This window comes from Homo sapiens, chromosome 3 (assembly GCF_000001405.40).
Source record: "Homo sapiens chromosome 3, GRCh38.p14 Primary Assembly".
In the NCBI taxonomy this organism is placed as follows: domain Eukaryota; kingdom Metazoa; phylum Chordata; class Mammalia; order Primates; family Hominidae; genus Homo; species Homo sapiens.
Genome location: NC_000003.12, coordinates 141,912,155 through 141,934,360, shown reverse-complemented (window position 1 = coordinate 141,934,360; position 22,206 = coordinate 141,912,155). Strand labels below are relative to the sequence as shown.

General features: G+C 44.2%; 1 protein-coding gene across 1 annotated transcript in view; it reads right to left on the bottom strand.

The window, feature by feature from the left end:
- Positions 1-7,811: 7,811 nt before the first annotated feature.
- ATP1B3 (ATPase Na+/K+ transporting subunit beta 3) overlaps positions 7,812-22,206 on the bottom strand; it is a 49,907-nt gene continuing 35,512 nt past the window's right edge. The window contains exons 4-7 of the mRNA NM_001679.4: positions 20,525-20,709; positions 18,341-18,391; positions 12,298-12,384; positions 7,812-8,830 (exon numbers count right to left, since the gene is read on the bottom strand). Of these exons, the coding sequence (NP_001670.1) occupies positions 8,660-8,830; positions 12,298-12,384; positions 18,341-18,391; positions 20,525-20,709 (494 nt within the window). The 3' untranslated portion in view covers positions 7,812-8,659. The remainder of the gene's footprint in view (positions 8,831-12,297; positions 12,385-18,340; positions 18,392-20,524; positions 20,710-22,206) is intronic.

The window sequence follows — 22,206 nt, the reverse complement described above, 5'->3', positions numbered from 1 at the left end:
TGGACTCTTGGGAAGAAGGCCGGGCCCCAGGGTCTCAGCCAGCTCCTCCCGTGGATCCTGGGGACTGAATTCCTCATCCTTTGTAGCACACGAACAATAACCCGACTGCTTTTCCCACCAGCCCAGGTCCCCGCACGCTGCACCCTTTCTCTCCCCACCAGCAAGGTGAACTGTTTTCTATAAGCCAGAAAAAGACCATAGAGATATGCGAGCTACGTATCTTCCATAAGTCCCAAGCTGTGGTTCAAAGACCAAAACAGCTGCTTCCTCTGCCACCCCACCCGGGCAGGCACCAGCCAGCTGGCTGCCTGCTGCCATTAACAAGCGCGTTCTAACCAGCAGCCACTGGATTTTTCCATAGAGTGTGGGCAGCTTTTAAGAGAACACTTGCCCAGAGAAGCCACTGGGCATGGCAGGGAATGAGTTTTTAACCTCTTTGGTCCCAGAAATCTGGAATATATAGTAAAAAACAGATGACTAAGAACTAGATCCAGAAGTGCTTAATGGTTCCAGCCGCTTTCTGTGTGAATGTGTCTGTAATGTCTTCCCTGAAGCTCGTGCAGTAGAGAGGGGGACTGTCCCAAGGTCACACAGAGATCGAATCAGTCGCACAGAGCAGGTACCTCAACTTTGGAGTTCCAGCCCAAGGGCTTTCCCTGCCAGCCAGTATGTCCAGGGCGAAGAAAGCCCTCATATGCCAGAGGGCCCCACACTAGGTTTCAGGTCATCCCTCAGGTAATGGGTCCTGAGGGGCTGACAAGCATTTCCCCCATCCCCATTCTTGTGTTCAATAGCAGCGTTTGAGAGCCCTGGTGTTTTCTTTTACTTTGTTGTTGTTGTTGAAACTGATCTTGCTCTGTCACCCTGGCTGGAGTGCAGTGGCGCAGCAACTGCAGCTCACTGCAACCTCCACCTCCTGGGTTCAAGTGATTCTCCTGCCTCAGCCTCCTGAGTAGCTGGGACTACAGGCGCCCAACACCATGCCTGGCTAATTTTTTGTACTTTTAGTAGAGACAGGGTTTCACTGTGTTAGCCAGGATGGTCTCGATCTCCTGACCTCGTGATCCGCCCGCCTCAGCCTCCCAAAGTGGCTGGGATCACAGACGTGAGCCACTGCACCCGGCCAAGAGCCCTGGTTTAAAAGGTAAGTGGAGGCCAGGCGCGGCGGTTCACCCCGTAATCCTAGCACTTTTGAGAGGCCGAGGCGTGTGGATCACGAGATCAGGAGTTCAAGACCAGTCTGGCCAAGATGGTGAAACCCCATATCTACTAAAAATACAAAAATTAGCTGGGTTCGGTGGCGGACACCTGTAATCCCAGTTACTCGGGAGGCTGAGGCAGGAGAATCGCTTGAACCCAGGAGGTGGAGGTTGCAGTGAGCTGAGATCGCTGTACCCTAGCCTGGGCGACAGAGCAAGACTCCGTCGAAAAAAAAAAAAAAAAAGGCCTCCTGTACGGTGCACAGAGTATTTCCCTCTTATTCTCTGCACCCACAGGTGTATTCATAGGCCAGCGGTGCACCTCTTTTGGGATGAAATTTGAAGAATTCGGTCTCTAGAATCCATGGGCTGGAGCTGTTAAGGTTCTATACTCCTCCCTCTCCCCAAGAGTCCGTTTCTTTCCCCCCTTGGATTGGCTTATTTTATTGCTACTTCTTTGGGGATAAAACTCTTTTTGACTGTTAGCCTGTGAGTGAATTAACTCATCTTTGAGCAAGATGCGTTTCTCTTCTCCCCAGGGAAGTGTCACAAGCCCTGAGGAAGTCTCCAAGCTGGCTGGGGCTCCTGATGAAGGTGCTGGTAGGAGCTCAGCGGATGTGTCTGGGCTAATGAGGGCTCTGTGGCTGGACACAGCGCAAAACATGGGTTCCCCCAAATTTATTTATTTATTTATTTATTTATTTATTTATTCATTCATTCATTCATTCAGAGACAGGGTCTCCCTCTGTTGCCCAGGCTGGAGTACAGTGGCACAATCATAGCTCACCACAGCTTTGACCTCCTGGGCTCAAGGGATCCCCCTGCCTCAGCCTCTTGAGTAGCTGGAACTGCAGGTGTGCACCACCATGCCCAGCTAATAGCTAATTTGTAAAATTTCTTGTAGAGATGTGGGCTCACTATGTTGCCCAGGCTGGTCTCAAACTCTTGGCCTCAAGTGATGCTCCCTCCTCGGCCTCCAAAAGTGTTAGGATTACAGGTATGAGCCACCACGCCTGCCCAGGCTGGAGTGCAGTGGCACGATCTCGGCTCACTGTAACCTCCACTTCCTAGGTTCAAGTGATTCTCCTGTCTCAGCCTTCCGAGTAACTGGGATTACAGGCATGTGCCACCATGCCCAGCTCATTTTTGTATTTTTAATAGAGACAGGGTTTCGCCATTTTGGCCAGGCTGGTCTCAAACTTCTGACCTCAGGTGATCCACCCGTCTCGGCCTCCCAAAGTGCTGGGATTATAGGTGTGAGCCATCCCACCTGGCCATATCTTTGTTTCTCGCAACACACTTATACACATCACAATATTCTTTTTTTTAAATTTTCTTTTCTTTTGAGATGGAGTCTCACTGTTGCCCAGGGTGGAGTACAGTGGTGCGATCTCGGCTCACTTCCCGGGTTCACACCATTCTCCTGCCTCAGACTCCCGAGTAGCTGGGACTACAGGCGCCCGCAACCACGCCCGGCTAATTTTTTGTATTTTTAGTAGAAATGGGGTTTCACCTTGTTAGCCAGGATGGTCTTGATCTCCTGACCTCCTGATCTGCCCACCTGGGCCTCCCAAAGTGCTGGGATTACAGGTGTGAGCCACCGCGCCTGGCCCTGGGTATTTTCATTTTTATTTATTTTTTTTGAGATGGAGTCTCACCCTGTCGCCCAGGCTGGAGTGCAGTAGTGCAATCTTGGCTCACTGCAATCTCTGCCTCCCCAGGTTCAAATGATTCTCCTGCCTCAGCCTCCCAAGTAGGTGAGATTACAGGCGCCTGCCACCACACCCAGCTAATTTTTGTATTTTTAGTAGAGACGGGGTTTTACCATGTTGGCCAGGCTGGTTTCAAACTCCTGACCTTGTGACCCAGCTTATTTTTGTATTTTTAGTAGAGACGGGGTTTTACCATGTTGGCCAGGCTGGTTTCAAACTCCTGACCTTGTGACCCACCTGCCTCAGCCTCCCAAAGTGCTAGGATTACAGGCATGAGCCACCGCGCCTGGGCCTTTGGGTATTTTTAAAGAGTAAAGTGCCCTGAAGACTGTGTGTGTAGGTAAGGGGCTTGCCCTCCCACTGGATGGCTCTGGATATAAAGTCATGGAAACACAGCTCCTGCATGTCTTCTAAGAGGCTTCATGGTGTGGAGAGTGCAGAGTGCTGGCTGAGGGCCGGCCTGGCCCAGCTGGAGACTGAAGCATGCCAAACTGACTCTATCCCTTAGGAACCAAGAGGACAGCCACCACCCACAGTACCAGGCAGAAGCAGCCTGGGCCTCGTGGTAGTTGCTAATCTGTAAGTTCCATGAAGGCAGGGATTATGTTTTGATCCCCAGTGTAACCCAGGCTCCTTGCACAGTGCCTAGCACACAGTGGTGCTCAATACACATTTTTTTTTTTTAAAAGGAGTCTCACTGTGTCGCCCAGGCTGGAGTGCAAGGGCGTGATCTCCACTCACTGCAACCTCCGCCTCCTAGGTTCAAGTGATTCTCCTGTCTCAGCCTCCCAAGTAGCTGGGACTACAGGTGCCTGCCACCACGCCCAGATAACTTTTTTGTATTTTTAGTAGAGATGGGGTTTCATCATGTTGGTCAGGCTGGTCTTGAACTCCTTGACCTCAGGTGATCCGCCCACCTTGGCCTCCCAAAGTGCTGGGATTACAGGCATGAGCCACAGCGCCCAGCCTCAATACACATTTTAAAGTGAATTTTGGTAGAATATATATATATATATATATTTGTTTTTTGTTTTGAGGCAGTCTCATTCTGTCGTCCAGGCTGGAGTGCAGTGGTGTGATCTCGGCTCACTGCAACTTCCGCCTCCAGGGTTCAAGCAATTCTCCTGCCTCAGCCTCCCGAGTAGCTGGGACCACAGATGCACGCCCCCACGCCAGGCTAGTTTTTTTGTTTGTTTTTTGTATTTTCAATAGAGATGAGATTTTGCCATGTTGGCCAGGCTGGTCTTGAACTCCTGACCTCAAGTGATCCACTCGCCTTGGCCTTTCAAAGTGTTGGGATTATAGGTGTGAGCCACTGCACCCGGCCTCAATATTTCTTTAAAGACATGGGGTCTCACTGTGATCTCCCAGGAGTTCAAGCAATCCTCCTGCTTCAGCCTCCCAAGTAGCTGGGACTATAGGTGTGCCCTACCACACCCAGCCCTAAATTAATTTTTTAAATGAAGTATCTCACTAAATGACATGACAGCAACTTTGCACAGATGAGGTGAGTTCCCTTCATCTCCAAGCCAGTGGTCCCAGAACCTCACCCTATGCAGTTAGGAGCAAGAGACTGCTGACAAGGATCCCATTAATAGGCCCAAACCATGCCATCCTCAGGAAGCCGGACTCATGGTTGCAGGCCCCTGTCCTCCCACGGGGCCACAGAAAATAGCAAAGGAAATGAAAATGTCCCATCCAACCCGGGCTCTGAGACCACACTGACAAAGCTTAGTGTCTGAAAGCCAGGGGCCCAACACAGGGCACCTCTCCGCAGCCTCTGTGTTATTTCATAGCTGAACAAATTCTATCCTAGGCCTTTCTTCTCTCAGATCCCTCTTCCTCCCTCCTTACGCGGGCTCTGAATTCCAGGCATTACACCAACCACAATCATACACACAAGGGCCTCGTGCTCTGATGTAGCCCTTGAAGCAACAGCAGCACCTGAAAGCCTGTTAGGAAGCAGAATCTTGGGCCCCACCCTGGACACTGCCCAATCAGAATCTGCATTTTAAACAGGAGCCCTTGATGGAGCAGTTTGAGAAGCACTGGGTTGGAGTAGTAATCATCACTGAGAAGATGACCATATCAGCATTCTATCTGCCTCCATAACAAATTATCACGAAATTGGTGGCTTAAAACAATATTCATAACCTCCCATTTCTGTAGGTCAGCGGTGTGGGCACAATGTAGCCCAGCTGGGTCCTCTATGCAGGGCCTCAGGGCTGGGCTCTTAAGGCTCTGGGGAAGATCTGGCTTCCAAGCTCACTGGCCATTGGCAGAATGCACTTCCTTTGGCTTCCCACACAGCCACATTGAAAACAGCAAGCATGTGTCCAAACCCAGAGGCTTCAGGTCTCACTTCTGCTTACAGCTCCTATGATCACACTGGGCCGTCGGATAATCCAGGATAATCTCCCCATTTTAAGGTCAACCCACCAGTTACCTTAATTTCATCTGCAAAGCCCCTCTTGCCACGTGATAGAGCATAACCATGGGCATGGCCCCAGAACGTGAAGGTCATGGGGGCTGCAATTCTGCCTACCACATTGACTTCATCAGCAACAGGTCCAGTTCGGGATGAATCGCCTCTGAAGGGTGCTCTGAAGTGCTCCAGCTGAAGTTTTGGCCATCTCCGCCAGCCACACCCCACTGGGTTCCTCCTCCCCAGCTCTGGCTGTTTCGTCCCCTCTAGCCATCGCCCACCGTCCACACTGCCATACGGCCGCTCAGGACATCCCAGTTCCCTCCTGCCCGAGAGCTCTCATCTGAGGACGCGCATCATTCCTCAGGAAACTCTATCTTTCCACACCACCCCCAGCTGTTCTCAGCCACCCAGAAAAAAGGAACATAAACGCTAATGGGGAAAAACATGGGGACACATCTCATTTCACCCCACACTCCCTCAGCTCAACCTGGGAATGTAACCTGCAGGGCAGCAAGACCAGAAGCAACACCACTCCAGTTCTCCCAAGGGCCAATGGCATAGCCCTTGGGTATTCTCAGGGTTCTCTTACCCAGACAGGTGGCCAGCTAGCAGGAGTGCACACACTTCCAAATATCAGCTAAAGTCAAATGATGGCTCAATCTTCTCCATCTATTAAATCAAATTGGTGCTAGGCTCAATGGCCAAGGATGCAAAGCTGGTTGTCTTTGGTCCCTTCCAAACTGTGGTCTGTGAATGAGCAGTGGTAGGTATTACCTTGGAGTTGCTACATCTATAGAGTCCCTCCTAGTGAACTGGAATCTGCATTTTAATGAGATACCCAGGTGATCTGTAAGCACATCCTGAAATGCTGAGGAAAACCTGAAGTCAGCAGCAGAAAGGCGGACTCCAGCTGTGTCCAGGCATCCTTCGTTCCGAGTCCAGTCCTTACCTGGCCCATACAGGCCCAACTCCCAGCCACTCTTCCTCCTCCATCAAGCACCACCTATCTCTTGAGATCTTTCACAAAAATAAACTTTAGGGAAGGGTGGGACCTTTGGAATAATCTAGTCTTACCCCACCTCATGGCCTCTTGCATGTCAGCGCCATCACCATCATCATGCCACGTGCTGTGTCTCAGAGCCTGTTCCCTCCTAGTTTAAGATCTTTGAGAAACCATGTCTTTTCATCTCTGTATCCTCAAAGTCTGGCTGATCCAGTCCGGTATATAGCAGGTCTGCTAAATTGTTGTTAAACTGCCTTAATTTCGATAGATGAAGCAAGCAGAGCCAGGAGAAGTTGGGGAGATCAGCTAAGATCACTGGGCAGTCAGGTGCTGATCCACGTCCAAACTTCTGAACCAGGGAGGCATACAAGATGCTTTAGTGACTTACATGTGTGTGCCATTTTTATTTGTCTCCAACACCCACCCTATGTTGGATGCCATCTCAATTCTTCTTGTGTATTGAGAATGAGTCTTTTATCTAAGCTCGTTAAAACAGAAATTCCATCCATATTTACTTCAAAAGACTCAAAAATACAATTTAATAGAATACTTAATATGAATTTCACAGGCACCAAAGTTTACAGCTGTTGAGGATGAGGTCACACTGGCCCAACTAAAGTCATGTCACCTCTCTCACATCGTAGCATTCTTTTATCCTTGTTTTACACTCTTAAGAGATAGCATAAAGAAGAAAATCAAAACCCAGAAAAGGTTTGCTGTAATTACTCCAATAATTTCCTTCAGTGAAAATCTCTTATCACTATGATTTTAGTGACAGAGGAACAAGCAGAGCTCTGACGTGGGGCTGAGTGCCCACTACTAAAGGGCAGAGGCTGCCGCCAGGCCACCAAGGCCCATCTGGCCAGGCAAGGCCACCCAGAGCCCTCACGTTTACTCCAAACGGCCATTCTTGAGCCAGCTGGGTTGGGTCCCACCCCTTCTGGCTTGCACCACCACAAAGAAAACCTCAAGAATATCTGCTTTGCCGTTTTTTTTTTTTTTTGCAGACAGAGTCTCGCTCTGTCACCAGGCTGGAGTGCAGTGGTGTGATCTCGACTCACTGCAACCTCCGCCTCTTGGGTTCAAGCGATTCTTCTGCCTCAGCCTCCCGAGTAACTGGGACTACAGGCACGCACCACTACGCCCAGCTAATTTTTATATTTTTAGTAGAGACGGGATTCCACCATGTTGGCCAGGATGGTCTCGATCTCTTGACCTTGTGATCCGCCCGCCTCGGCCTCCCAAAGTGCTGGGACTACAGGCGTGAGCCACTGCGCCCGGCTGCCTTTTTTTTTTTTTAAAAAAGGAGAAAAGTAACAATAAACAACAGCCTTAAGAAAAAACAAGAAGCAACACAGATCATATGGGAAGCACAACTTTCTCAGCCAAGTAGCCCAAATTATCACAAATAATCCTACCAAGAATACACCTAATACTGGAGGGGAAAGAATGCTTACACAAAACTGTTGTTTGCTTTGAAGCTTTGAATAAGTTCCAAGTTTTTATATTTCACAATTTATATACTTTATTACAGTCCACAGTCTGCTAAATAAAAGCAGTAACAAGATATTTCACAAACTATTGTACAAATTAAGTCTTATGAATTTAATCTCATAAAAAATTAGGTGCATAGTCACACTGGCTAACCTAAAAATGCTATTTTATCTACAGCCTAAAATAAGAGGCAGTTCCAACACTAAAAATTAATCCCAGTTTTTTTTTTTACATGTTTTACAAAAAAAAGTTTGTGCTCTTAATCAAAAAGATCGAGGCTAATTCAGCATGTAAAAAATAAATTTTACAAAGAACCCAAGATAATATTTTTCAAACACACTTTTATTTTCTTTTTTTCCTTCCTCACATACAGAACTTCTCCACATACCACATTTCTTGCAGCTATAAAGTCACTTGATGTTGGCCGGGTACCATTTTATCCCTAAAACTCTGTTGACATCAAAATATGACAGTTGTTATATCCATAAAATATTTACATAGCACGGCATATTAAGCTTTAGACACTTGGCAATTAAACCACATAAAAAGAGGACAAGACCCCCATCCTACATGTTTGGAATCAGGTGTTCACCGGTCCCTATCTGGCGACTGTACACTGGTTCAAAGGGCAGCAGAGGCAACAGGCAGTTACTTCAGAGGACACTGAACACTATGATCTGGAAGCACGTTATGATGTAACCCAATGTCATGTACCACACACCTTTCTCCAAGGTGGTCTCATAATTCTAGAATGGAAGGTCCAGCTGTTACAAAATGAAGACAGACAACACAACATTTACTCTGTGGAGATATCCTACTCATACTATGCACGTGCTGTGATTTTGAACATAACTCGTCCCAAAAACTTGTCACGATCATCCTGACTTTTTAGGTTGGCTGATCCATCAATCTTGCACTCAACTGTTACTTCTTTCCCAGTGTTGTTAGGAGCAAAGCTGACCTGAACAGCAACCAATGGCTGTAGATACCCAACCTGGCAATAAAAGGAAAATATATTAATTCAAACTCTATGGAAACTTAATACTTCTCTCTACCAGGAATTGGCTTATTCTGTAAATTTTCTTTTTGAGACTGTTGCCCAGGCTGCAGTGCAGTGGTGCAATTATGGCTCATTGAAGCCTCAACCAATCCTCCCACCTCAGTTTCCTAAGTAGCTGGGACTATAGGCACATGCCGCCACAGCCCACTAATTTTTAAATTTTTTTGTAGAGACAGGGTCTCCCTGCCCAGGCTAATCTCAAACTCCTCGCTTCAAATGGCCCTTCCACCTCACCCTCCCAAAGTGCTGGGATTACAGGTGTGAGCCACCATACGTGGCTTGTAAATTAAAAAAAAAATTTAGCTCTATTATTTTCTGTTCTCTGCATTCTTTTTAATTTTTTGGAGCTGTAAGTCCATACCTGTAATTACTGATAAAAATGTTGACTGGGTGTGACAGCTCATGCCCCTGAGCTCAAGTGATCCTCTTGCCTTGTCCTCCCAGAATGCTAGGATTACAGGTGTGAGCCACCACACCCGGCCTATTATCATTATTATTATTAATTTTTTTGTGAGGCAGAGTCTTGCTCTGTTGCCCAGGCTGGAGTGCAGTGGCACGATCCCGGCTCACTGCAACCTCTGACTCCCGGGTTCAAGTGATTCTCCTGCCTCAACCTCCCAAGTAGGTGGGATTACAGGCACCCGCTACCACGCCCAGCTAACTTTTGTATTTTTAATAGACGGGGTTTCACCATGTTGGCCAGGATAGTCTCGATCTCCTGACCTCGTGATCTGTCCACCTTGGCCTCCCAAAGTGCTTGGGAATATATAGGCATGAGCCGCCACACCCGACCCTTATCATTATTTTTTAATATTCTTTTTTGAAATGGAGTATGTTGCCCAGGTTGGAATGCAGTGGCACCATCTCAGCTCATTGCAACCTCCACCTCCCAGGTTCAAGCGATTCCCCTGCCTCAGCCTCCCATGTAGCTGGAGTCACGGGTGCCCACCACCATACCCAGCTAATTTTTTTATTTTTAGTAGAGACAGGGCTTTGCCATTGCTACTGAAGTTGGCCAGGCTGGTCTCGAACTCCTGACCCCAGATGATCCACCTACCTCGGCCTCCCAAAGTGCTGGGATTACAGGCGTGAGCCACTGCACCTGGCCTTTTTTTTTTTTTTTTTGAGACATTGCATTCTGTTGCCAGGCTGGAGTGCAATGGTGCAATCTCGGCTCACTGCAACCTCTGCCTTCCTGGTTCAAGTGATTCTCCTGCCTCAGCCTCCTGGGTAGCTGGGATTACAGGAGTGTGCCACCACGGTCAGCTAATTTTTGTATTTTTAGTAGAGACAGCGTTTCACCATGTTGGTCAGGCTGGTCTCGAACTCTCCACCTCAGGTGATCCGCCTGTCTCAGCCTCCCAAAGTGCTGGGATTACAGGCGTGAGCCACCGTGCCAGGCAGTAACGAGCTTTTTAATTTTCTCCCCACATGATACTTATTGATGACAGAGGAAAAAAAGTATATTGTAGAAACCTCGCTCATACCACCTTAACCAAGGAATCAAGGCAGTATCACCATTAACGGAATGAAATGATACCATGTCCCTCCTGACACTCTGAGAACTCAACATTTCTTTTGAGGCACTCATGCCAAAATGCACAACCTATATTTAATCATGAAAAACCACCAAACTCCAACTAATGAACATAAAATAAGCCATAAAAGGCCCGTACTTATTTTTGAAGAGTACAAAGCCATGAAACAGACTGAGGAAATATTCCTGATTATAGGTTGCTAAACGTGTTAACAGTGTGACATCTGGGATCAGGAAAACACTTGTCTTTCACTATAAAGAGTATTACTGGAACAATTGATGGATTTTCAACAAAGTCTACAGATTCATAAGAGCACTATATGTTAACTTCCTTTGTTAACTGTACTACTGTCTTTGTTTTCTGTTGCTTATAACACAATACTTGAAACTGGGTAATTTATAAAGAAAGGAATTTATTTCTTACAGTTAATGGAGGCTGAGAAGGCCAAGATCAAGGAGCTGCATCTGGTGAGAACCTTCTTTGCTGCTGGGTACTTTCAACAGAGTCCTGAGGTGGTGCAAGGCATCACGTGGCCAGGGGGCTGAGCATGCTAACCTGCTAGCTCAGGTCTCTCTTCCTCTTCTTATAAAGCCGCTAGTCCCACTCCTATGATAACTCATTAGTCCACTAACCTATTTTTTTTTTTTTTGAGATAGAGTCTTGCTTTGTTGCCCAGGCTGGAGTGCAATGGTGCAGTCTTGGCTCACTGCAATCTCTGCCTCCCAGGTTGAAGCGATTCTCCTGCCTCAGTCTCCCGAGTAGCTGGGATTACATGCACCCACCACTATGCCCGGCTAATTTTTGTATTTTCAGCAGAGACGGGGTTTCACTATGCTAGTCAGGCTGGTCTAGAACTCCTGACCTCAGGTGATCTGCCCGCCTCGGCCTCCCAAAATGCTGCGATTGCAGGCGTGAGCCACCACACCCGGCCGCAATGAGCTTTTGATTTTTTTTCTTTTTTGAGACAGAGTCTCGCTCTGTTGCCCAGGCTGGAGTGCAGTGGCACAATCTCGGCTCACTGTAACCTCCGACTCCCAGGTTCATGCCAGTCTCCTGCCTCACCCTCTCGAGCAGCTGGGACTACAGGTGCCTGCCACCACGCCCAGCTAATTTTTTGTAATTTTTAGTAGAGACGGGGTTTCACCGTGTTAGCCAGGATGGTCTTGATCTCCTGACCTCGTGATCTGCCCGACTCGGCCTCCCAAAGTGCTGGGATTACAGGTGAGCCACTGCGCCTGGCCTTGATTTTCTTTTCATTTATTTTTTTGGTGGGGGAAACAGAATCCCATTCTGTCACCCAACCTGGAGTGTGGTGGTACAATCTTGGCTCACTGCAACCTCCACCTCCTGGGTTCAAGCGATTCTCCTGCCTCAGCCTCCCGAGTAGCTGGGACTACAGGCACATGTCACCACGCCCAGCTAATTTTTGTATTTTTAGTAGAGAGGGGGTTTCGCCAAGTTGGCCAGGCTGGTCTCAAACTCCTGACCTCAGGTAATGCGCCCGCCTTGGCCTCTCAAAGTGCTGTGATTACAGGAGTAAGCCACCGCACCCGGCCTTGATTTTCTTTTTAAGTACTTTTCTACTTTCTCTACATAAGCACCTACTACTACCTCTATAATGAAAAAGAAAATGATATTTTAGAAATAATCATCTAACTTTAACGTATCTGCTTGGGTTCTGTGTTCTGAATTGTAAATGTGGGAACTCCATTTACCATCACCATTAAAATAAAACAAAACCTGAATAGATGACGCACAAATTAAACAGGGCTGGCGTCTACCTACCCCAGACAAGTGGTACGTCAACACATGCTCCAGCTTCCCAAAAGAGTAATCACCACATAAGAACTTCTCAATACTTACATGCAGTTTTTTCCCATAATATGGGAAATATTTTAAGTCTATCATTCCATTATGAGGATAAACTGCTACATTTGGTATATCTTCATTCTGAAGTTGAAAACAAAAGAAATCCTCTTTAGGTCACAAAAAGAATTTGTAAAAACTATGTTTATAATTAAAGGAATATCAATCATGAACAGTTTGCAGAAACTACAATGCTGCTCCAACTATATTATCATTACAAGTGTATTTCTGAGAAGAAGCTTGCTCATCTTGATTGCAAATATTATCTAACTAACCCCTTCCACATGAACTATCCTGATACTTACACTTCCAGATACACTCTATACTCTCTTTCATGAGAGTCCCTTCTTTAACTCATGTACTCCTGTAAAATCTTATCTGCCCTCCAAATACCAAATGCCAGCCTTTCTACCTACTAACAGCAGGAATGCACCAGCAGGTTTAGGACCGATGTTTTCCTGAAATGAATAAAATGCTGTGCTTCCAGACTGGAAAGCAACAGCCACCACAAGGTGCCAACCTAGAATGCAGCACTCAGGCCTGGGAGACAGCAGGTGTGAGTTTCATGTGATTAATAACCAGAACTGCAACCAGAGGGGAAGCATGAAGGAAAATTTAAGGTACTACAAGCAAAACTCTCCTCGACAAATTTAAATACTGTATCAGGAATAAATTTATGAGCATATATAAATCATTAAGTATTACTTGTCTACTAGAATTCCATGTTTATCAACATACAAATCAAGCATCACCTGTAATCCAATTAATTCATGCTATTAGTTATTTCTAGTATTATTCATGATAAATAAGCAATTTATGAAAATTCACATGTAACACTTTCTAAATGGGCCTAATTCTAATGAGTGTAACTTTAACACAGACTGAGAAGTAGCAAACAGACCACAATGATTAAAATCAGTGCTGGGCTTACGGAACACTAGTTAAAATAAAACATTATTAAATACTTGAATTTTATATATATATAAAAAAATTTTTTTGAGACAGGGTTGAAAGCATGCATGAAACAGCATAAAGCAAAACTAAGAATCCACTCTAAGGAGTTCTAGATTCTGCTCATTTCATTTCATTATGAAGCAGCATATGGCTGTGGGGTGGGGTGAGAGACAGATGAAAGGCACCGGCCAGACAGCACAAAGGACAGAGTGATGATGCGCCCCACCCACCAGACAAGCTCTAATGATCCAGATGATGAATATGTGGAAAGGGTAGGAAGTAACAACGCTAGGAGAAATCGCAAAAGCCATTTTCAATCACTACTCAAACTCCACCCTACATTTGTACTCTTTAACTTAAAAAATAAGCTTAAAATCAAAGATAACATTTTATATTAGAGAAAAACTAGTCACTCTGATATCAGTGCTTTTCTGCATTAATTGCTTTTGTTGAACCTATTTTACCTTAATATATGACCTTCACAGAACACATTTCCGCAAAATGAAAAAAAGGATTTTTTTTGAGAAACAGTTTACTGAGTATCTTGGAGTATGTTTCTTTTTTCTTTTTTCTTTTTTTTGAGACAGAGTCTCACTCTGTTGCCTAAGCCAGAGTGCAATGGCCTGATCTTGGCTCACTGCAGCCTCCTCCTCCCGGGTTCAAGCGATTCTCCTGTCTCAGCCTCCTGAATAGCTGGGATTACAAGTGTGCGCCACCATGCAGGGCTGATTTTTGTATCTTTAGTAGAGACGGAGTTTTGTCATGTTGGCCAGGCTGGTCTCAAACTCCTTACCTCAAGTGATCCACCACACCCAACCCAGAGTGGGTTTCCTACCAGATACCACACTTAGCTTACACTTCCCTCCTTTAGGCCTAACAAGCCTTAGTGGACAGCATCAATTACGGAGCAGGGCACTGGGGCTCAGAGTTAAGGCCATCACGGCTCAAGACCATCAGGTGTGGCAGACGCTCAACTGCTCTCTGTGTGTGCCTAAGACGTGATCTTGGCAGGATTTTTCTTAATCTTTTAATTTATACCTTCTGTGAAAATAAACATTTAGAAATTGTAAAATATTAAAATGAGTATCTGAATAATAATGAGGTACTCAGGGTGAAGCATGTATGTCATAATTTTCTAAGTATACGAATAGCATATTTTTTTTTCTTTTTGAGACAGAGTTGCTCTGTTGCCTAGGATGGAGTGGAGTGGCGCGATCATGGCTCACTACAACCTCTGCCTCCTGGGTACAAGCGATTCTCTTGCCTAAGCCTCCCGAGTAGCTGGGATTACAGGCACATGCCACCACGTCAGGCTCATTTTTTTATTTTTAGTAGAGATGGGGTTTCACCATGTTAGCCAGGCTGGTCTCGAATTCCTGACCTCTGGTGATCCGCCTACCTTGGCCTCCCAAAGTGCTGGAATTACAGGTGAAAGCCACCGCGTCCGGCAATAGCATCATATTGTAAACTATGAGCAACTAACTCTAAGAACCTACTGATGGTCACTAAGTTCCACTGAAACAAAATGGAGTTTAAAAATTAATGCATTTTGTTTCTTCCCATTTTTTGATTTTCTTAGTATGATTCATTTTCATAAGAAAATAAAACACTGAGAAAAAAATGACATAAATATGAAAATTACATCTTTTGCAGGATCATCTTTTAAGTTGATAATATAAAAGGCCACCTTGGCCATCTGCGGTGGTTCACACCTGTAATTCCAGCATTTTCAAAGGCGGAGGTGGGTGGATTGCTTGAGGCCAGGAGTTTAAGACCAGCCTGGCAACATGGTGACACCCTGTCTCTATGGAGAGAGAGAGAAAAAAAAAAAGCACCTCCAAGGGTATGTTAAGTGTTTGTATTTTCAGGACTCTAACTTGTATAAAAACAATCAAGGCAGAACAAAATCAATACAAGACAAAATAAAAGACATATGTATTACATAAAAGAACTAAAGAATTTAAAGAACGCTTGACATAGACAAATCTAATAGAAAATTGCAATTATGATATGTAGTAAATGCTTCCATCTGTTCTGGAGAGCCACACTTCTAAAATTTATGGGTTCTAACTGGTTTACTACTTGTGACTAGCCTAGGGAATAAATGCCAAATTTTACAAACATTTCTTCCACTTTTGTGCTTTTCTAAAAACAAACAAAAAATCCACAACTAAATAAACAAAATTAAAACTCCACCTGCTTTGATTATTTTATGTACTTCACACACCTCTCTCCAAAGCAAAAGGGAAAGCTAACTGAAATCCGAATCATTAAATCTGGGTTTTTCATTAACATTTCCCCCAACTATTCTAGAAGCAAAGGATACGTAATAGATAAACAAGAAGAAAAATGCATTTAAAACCTTAAGGGGGCCGAGTGCAGTGGCTCACGCCTGTTACCCCAGTACTTTGGGAGGCTGAGGAAGACGAATCACGAGGTCAGGGAATCGAGACCATCCTGGCCAACATGGTAAAACCCCATCTCTACTAAAATACAAAAAATTAACCGGGCGTGATAGCACGTGCCTGTAGTCCCAGCTACTTGGGAGGCTGAGGCAGGAGAATCGCTTGAACCCGGGAGGCAAAGGTGAGCTGAGATCGCACCACTGCACTCCAGCCTGGGCAACAGAGAGAGACTCCGTCTCAAAAAAAAAAAAAGGGAGAGGTATATGGAATTGTTTATACTGACCAAAGGTTTACACAATTTAAAGCTTTTGCGCTTCTGGCTTGAATGTGTTTTCCCTTCAGGTGGTATTGGCTTTGTAGACCCAGCACTCCATCCAAGCTTATCTATGCAGCCTGCTCACAGGCTCCTGTATACAGGCGCACTGTCATGAAATTAGCACTTCTACCCAGCTGAAGCCTAGCACCCAAGCCCCAAGAACTTTCTACCAGAAAGCTTTGTGAGCAAGCCCTGAGGATCACAAAGGGTTACCCAACATTTTTTCTAAATGTATCTTGTAGCTATAGTGTTCTGACTTGAGAGCTGACAGTATATGCTGCCCACTAGATTTTTAGAAGAATTTATCAAGAAAAGCTCAGCTGGGCGCGGTGGCTCACGCCTGTAATCCCAGCACTTTGGGAGGCTGAGGCGGGCGGATCACGAGGTCAGGAGATCAAGACCATCCTGGCTAACATAGTGAAACCCCGTCTCTACTAAAAAATACAAAAAATTAGCCGGGCGTGGTGGCGGTCGCCTGTAGTCCCAGTTACTTGGGAGGCTGAGGCAGGAGAATGGTGTGAACCCAGGAGGCGGAGCTTGCAGTGAGCCGAGATCATGCCACTGCACTCCAGCCTGGGCAACAGAGTGAGACTCCGTCTCCAAAAAAAAAAAAATAAAATAAAATAAAGAAAGAAAAGCTCAGCTTAGATGTGGTATCTGGTTTTAAGTGAGATTCTGGCTTTTTGTGTGTGTGTGATGGAGTCTCACTCTGCCAACAGGCTGGAGTGCAGAAGTGTGATCTCAGCTCACTGCAACCTCCACCTCCCAGGTTCAAGCGGTTCCTTTGCCTCCGTCTCCTGAATAGCTGGGACTACAGGTGCGTGCCACCATGCCCAGCTAATTTTCTGTATTTTAGTAGAGACGAGGTTTCAGTATGTTGGCCAGGATGGTCTCGATCTCTTGACCTCGTGATCTGCCTGCCTCAGCCTCCCAAAGTGCCAGGATTACAGGCGCGAGCCACTGCACCCAGCTGACTCTGGCTTTTTGTACAAGTTTCCCATTGAGCTGTCTGTGGCACAAGGAGGTAAAGTGAATTGCCAGTGGTCACACACATATAATTTCAACCCAGATGAGAAACCATAAACTTCCTGGCTTTTTATGCTACTCTAAATAGTGAATAAATGCTCTTAAAAAATTAATAAGGACACTCCAAATCGGGAGTTCTCAAAATGTGGGCCTCAGACCAGCAGCATCAGCATCACCTGGAAACTTTAGTGAGAAATGCAAATTTTGGGCCAGGCGCGGTGACTCATGCCTGTAATCCCAGCACTTTGAGAGGCCGAGGCGGGCAGATCACGAGGTCAGGAGATCAAGACCATCCTGGCTAACATGATGAAACCCTGTCTCTCCAAAAAAAAAAAAAAAAAATTAGCCGGGAGCGCCTGTAGTCCCAGCTACTCAGGAGGCTGAGGCAGGAGAACCGCGTGAACCCGGGAGGCGGAGCTTGCAGTGAGATCGTGCCACTGCACTCCAGCCCAGGCGACAGAGTGAGACTCCGTCTAAAAGAAAAAAAAAGAAAAAAATGCAAATTTTGGACCCTATCTCAGACCTACTGAGTCAGAAACTATGGGAACGGAACCCAACAAGGCAACATGACTCTGATGAGTGATCAAGTTTGAAGACCACTGAGCAAGAAGTTTCTGCCCAAATAAGAAGTCCATTAACAGTAAAAAGAATTTTTTTTCACAACTTTAAAAGTGATTTCAATGTAACATTCTAAGTAAAATATTTCTGCCATACAATCAGAGTTGAAATGTTAATATTTAGCACAATGATAAATTTAGAACTTAATGTCTCCTCAGAACTCTTACCCATCTTTTACATTATTTGTCTTAGTGGCATTTGCAGCATGGAGAGAAAACAAAAGAAAGTTATGAGATGAAAACTGCACAGTATTCTGGAAAAAAAAGTAAGTAGGGATAGGGGAGATAAATAATGCTTCTACCTTAAGGAAAATGCACCATATTTCATTAAATCTCAGATAGCACTGATGACTAGCACGCCAACTAACTATTAAGAAAGAGAAAAATGTCATGATACAGTATTAAGACACCATCAATTACAAGGGTAATCCCAATTTCAGTGTTACTGAGCTGGCAGAAAAAAAGTGAATCTTAGAATTGATGAAATACGGTATATGTGAAAATAAAGGCAATGTGTGCAAAATCAAATACACATGGAAAATGTCTTTCTGAATTATCATTAAGGAAGAGAAAGACTACGGTTGGTGGAATTTTATTCTAAGGCACTACAAAGGACTTTAAAATGTGACAGGGAAGAAAAAAAAGATGACTAAATCATTAGACTTTTAAAGTATTTTAAGAAACATCAAAGATTTAACAGGAGTTACTTTTTGAATACTAACCTTTGAAACACAATCTATCCTTGGCACTCCTTCAGGCTTTAATCCAATTATCTAAGGTTAAGAAATAGTGATAAATTTAAACTTCACGTAAGTATGCAATGGAACTTCCTCCCTCTGTTGCTGGGAACAAGGGGTGAAGACTTTGAGATTAACACCAAGTCTGTATACATCTGCCTTTTACTTTAATCTTATTTGAGGGTATTAAAATGAACTTTTAAATAAAATAACTTCAGCAATCAGATATCTTATTACTGTACTGGGGCAATTTAGAAAATAAATAAATTACCAAAGAATTAAATGAAACAAAAGTACCCTTTGCTACCCTTAAAATATGAAACAGACAGAAACCCTTAAATCTAATTATTAATATTTATATGAACAAATAATTTAATGTATATAATAAGAACTGCAGAAGCATAATAATTAACTGTTCTTCACAAAACTATATCAGGTCACACTCTCCGTGTTTCCATGAGGGCCCCACTGAGCCTCACTGTATCTCACAACCCATCTGCTCCCCAAAAGGCACACACTGGGAGAGCCCTATTTTAAGACTCCTTTCGTGTATGTAGCTGACAGAACTGAATAAACTCACATATTTATACATTTTGTGAGATAATTTTTTGGCATTCTGAATTTATACACAGTTTCCACGTGAATGCACGTAAAATCTAAATATTCCTCTCAAAAGACAAGTATTGTTGCGTCCTAACTGGGAACTATACTGGTATGAAACCTCCTGCTACACTACGTAAGCTCATCTCATCAATGATTCCTGTGTGTCTGATGCTGTCCTCCTGACAAAGCCATGCCCTGAGTCATCAGCAAGCATGGTCTCAGGCCATTATCATTCAAGGAGACCATCTTGAGAAAGAAAACAAACCCAGAAGGTTGATCCTCTCCTGGCTTTCTACTGGGAACAAATGTTCAGCAATCTAGATGTCGTGAGGATACTTCTAGTAGACTGGGATTACAAAAGGCATCTCTGTTAAAACAAACTTAATTCATTTTATAAACTAGATCATCTAGTTTCACATTACTTTCAGCTTACTTTGTTAACTTCAATTCTTAATTCTGAATAAGGTCTGGTTGAAACATTCCACTAATCATTTACTGAGCACCTAGAATGCTATGGGACAATCTGGAAGCTGTCAGTTGTCCAAGGCCTCCCAAAGGGATGAAGCAGAGGTTGGAGGGGTGTCAGTCTGGGCACCTCAGGGCCTAGCTGGTTCTCCCTACAGGGAAGCTTCTTATTTAGCAGTGCCAACTTCAAAAGATCCAAATTTTACTTTTATTAGGGATGGTGGCAATTTGCTCACCAATGATGACTTTAGTGATTCATAAACTCATGATTTTGAGAAGTCTACACCTGTTTTAAATGACCATGAATGACTTCACTCTTCAAGGGAGACCTTGCAGGCCTCAAAACAGTAAGCGCATCAGAACACAACTCTGAAGTACATTTACAGAGCAGCAAGGCACGGGGGCTAGGGATCACTTCATGACTCAAGAAAAGCCGTATCATCTTCCTTTGCACAATGACCCTAATTCATTACTCCTGTCACACAGAGAACATTAGCTTCTTCCTTTGCTCATTACTATACAATTTAGGCACCCTTCTGTAAAACAGCAAAATGCTGCTACTTTGGATACAACTGCAACATCCCACTGAACTCGTTAGAATGGGATTTTATTTGTATTTCTGTTATCTAATTACATATATATATACTGATACTATAAAACTATGCTTTGCTACTATTTCGAAAAAGTTAATAAGTTTAAACTTTATGGAGTCTGTGGAATTTTAAATTATTTTACAACACAGGATTCACAGATGAGCACTGCACCCTAACAAGTCTCTGCTTTGGTTATGACAAGGAGAACATTTGCCCCTTGGAGCATTAATGTGTGCTGGAATGCATGTAGCTATTTCCAAAGAAGAAAAGTTTAAAAGTTACTTTAACTCCTTACTCCATGATTAATCTATGAACCTCTTTTTTTTGCCATATAAACTTTCTTCCAGTGATCAATAAACATTACTGCTAGTCTTTAAAGCAAGCTACCCCCCAAATGATAACTTTTAATAAGGAAGGCATTAACCCAACCACAACAATCTAAAAATAGTTGCCTCCTTAAAAGAGAATATTAGAAAAAAGCAGCAGCAGAGGTAAAATATGTACGTACTCTGTTCATTTTCACAAGAATACAAGGGTTTCCTTGAGAATAGCCAAAATCAGGATCATTCATACCACTGCATGCTTGAAGTAATGAAATAGGAAACTGACATGCAACATAAACTGGACCCTTCTGTTCAAAAAGTGCTCCATCAGGACAGACTGTGAGGTTCTTCTGTTCTTCTAAAGTATATGCTAAAAAGGAAACATATATGTGTGCTAGATCAGCCAAAAAAGGTACTAAAAACAACCAGGAATATATTAACCTTTGGAAAATGTTCTTCAAAGACAAAAACAGCAATGTAAATTACCAGATAACTTTAGGGAAAGAATGTTAAGTTTGCCCCTTTACCTTTTAACAGCTAACTAGTTCTCTAAAGTTACTGCATTTCAATAATCATACAAACTGGATTATAGATCCATCTCTTCTGTCACCATTAGGTGGCAGTACCAGCCATGGCTAAAGCATTATCTGAATGCCTTCTGCATGCTTGGTGATACAATGGAGAGGATGTAAAAAGGCACTGCTGCTGCCCTCATGGAGCTTACGGTTTTGTGGGGAAGAGAGTCATTAAGTGAGTATAAAATCAGAATTGCAGAGGTATGAAGATGTAGTGTTATGACAACCTACACTAAAAAAAAAAAAAGCAACTGAGCTGAATGCAGAAGGGTATGTGGGAGTTAATGAAGCTAGGAGAAGCACTTCCAATGAAGGAAGGTAGAAGCCAGACCATATAGAGTCTTGTAAACTATGTTAAAGAATTTTGAGGGGTGTGGGTGGGTGTTTTGCCAAACATCAATTAACAATCCACTAAAATGTTTTAAACCAGGGCAAGTGGATAGTATGAACATACTTAGGAAATTAACTCTGACTTTTCTGTGGAGTCAGTCCAGAAGGGAAAAAGAAAGGATCCGGAAAACAAGTTAGGAGACTATTAAAGCCGCCCAGGTGAGAGACTAGCTCATAGAAGGGGGTTTTTAGCAGAGATGGAGTTTACAGTGATAAAGGAGTAAAATGGTTAGAACTTGGTAATGGGAGGGAAGAGGGAGGAGAAATATGCAACAGACAATACAATTCTGCTCCGTACTTGGCACAGTGTTTAGCCCAAGAGGCACAAAGTGAGCAAGCCTGATGTGACCCCTGCCCTCAATTAACTTAATCTAGTGGACAATGCTTACTAATAAATAATTAACATATGATATAACAGTGCCTCAGGAAGAACTATTGGTGTGTGGGTGCAATTGGTACCAGAAAAAGGTATTGAATTCAATGAAAGTAAGAACCAGGCCAGGCGCAGTGGCTCATGCCTGTAATCCCAGCACTTTGGGAGGCCGAGGCGGGTGGATCACGAGATGAAGAGTTCAAGACCAGCCTGGCCAAGATGGTGAAACCACGACTCTACTAAAAATACACAAAAAAATTAGCTGGGTGCGGTGGCAGGTGCCTGTAATCCCAGCTACTCGGATTCTACTGAGGCAGGAGAATCGCTTGAACTCAGAGGGCGGAGGTTGCCACTGCACTCCAGCCTGGGCGACACAGTGAGGCTCCATCTCAAATAAATAAATAAATAAATAAATAAGAACCAAATTTCAAAGAGTATGCCTCAAAAAGGAAGTGTAAAGTCTTTACCTTGGGGGAAAAAAATCACTGTCAAAATGTTTGGTTTCATCTTATACTTACCAGAAACTAGG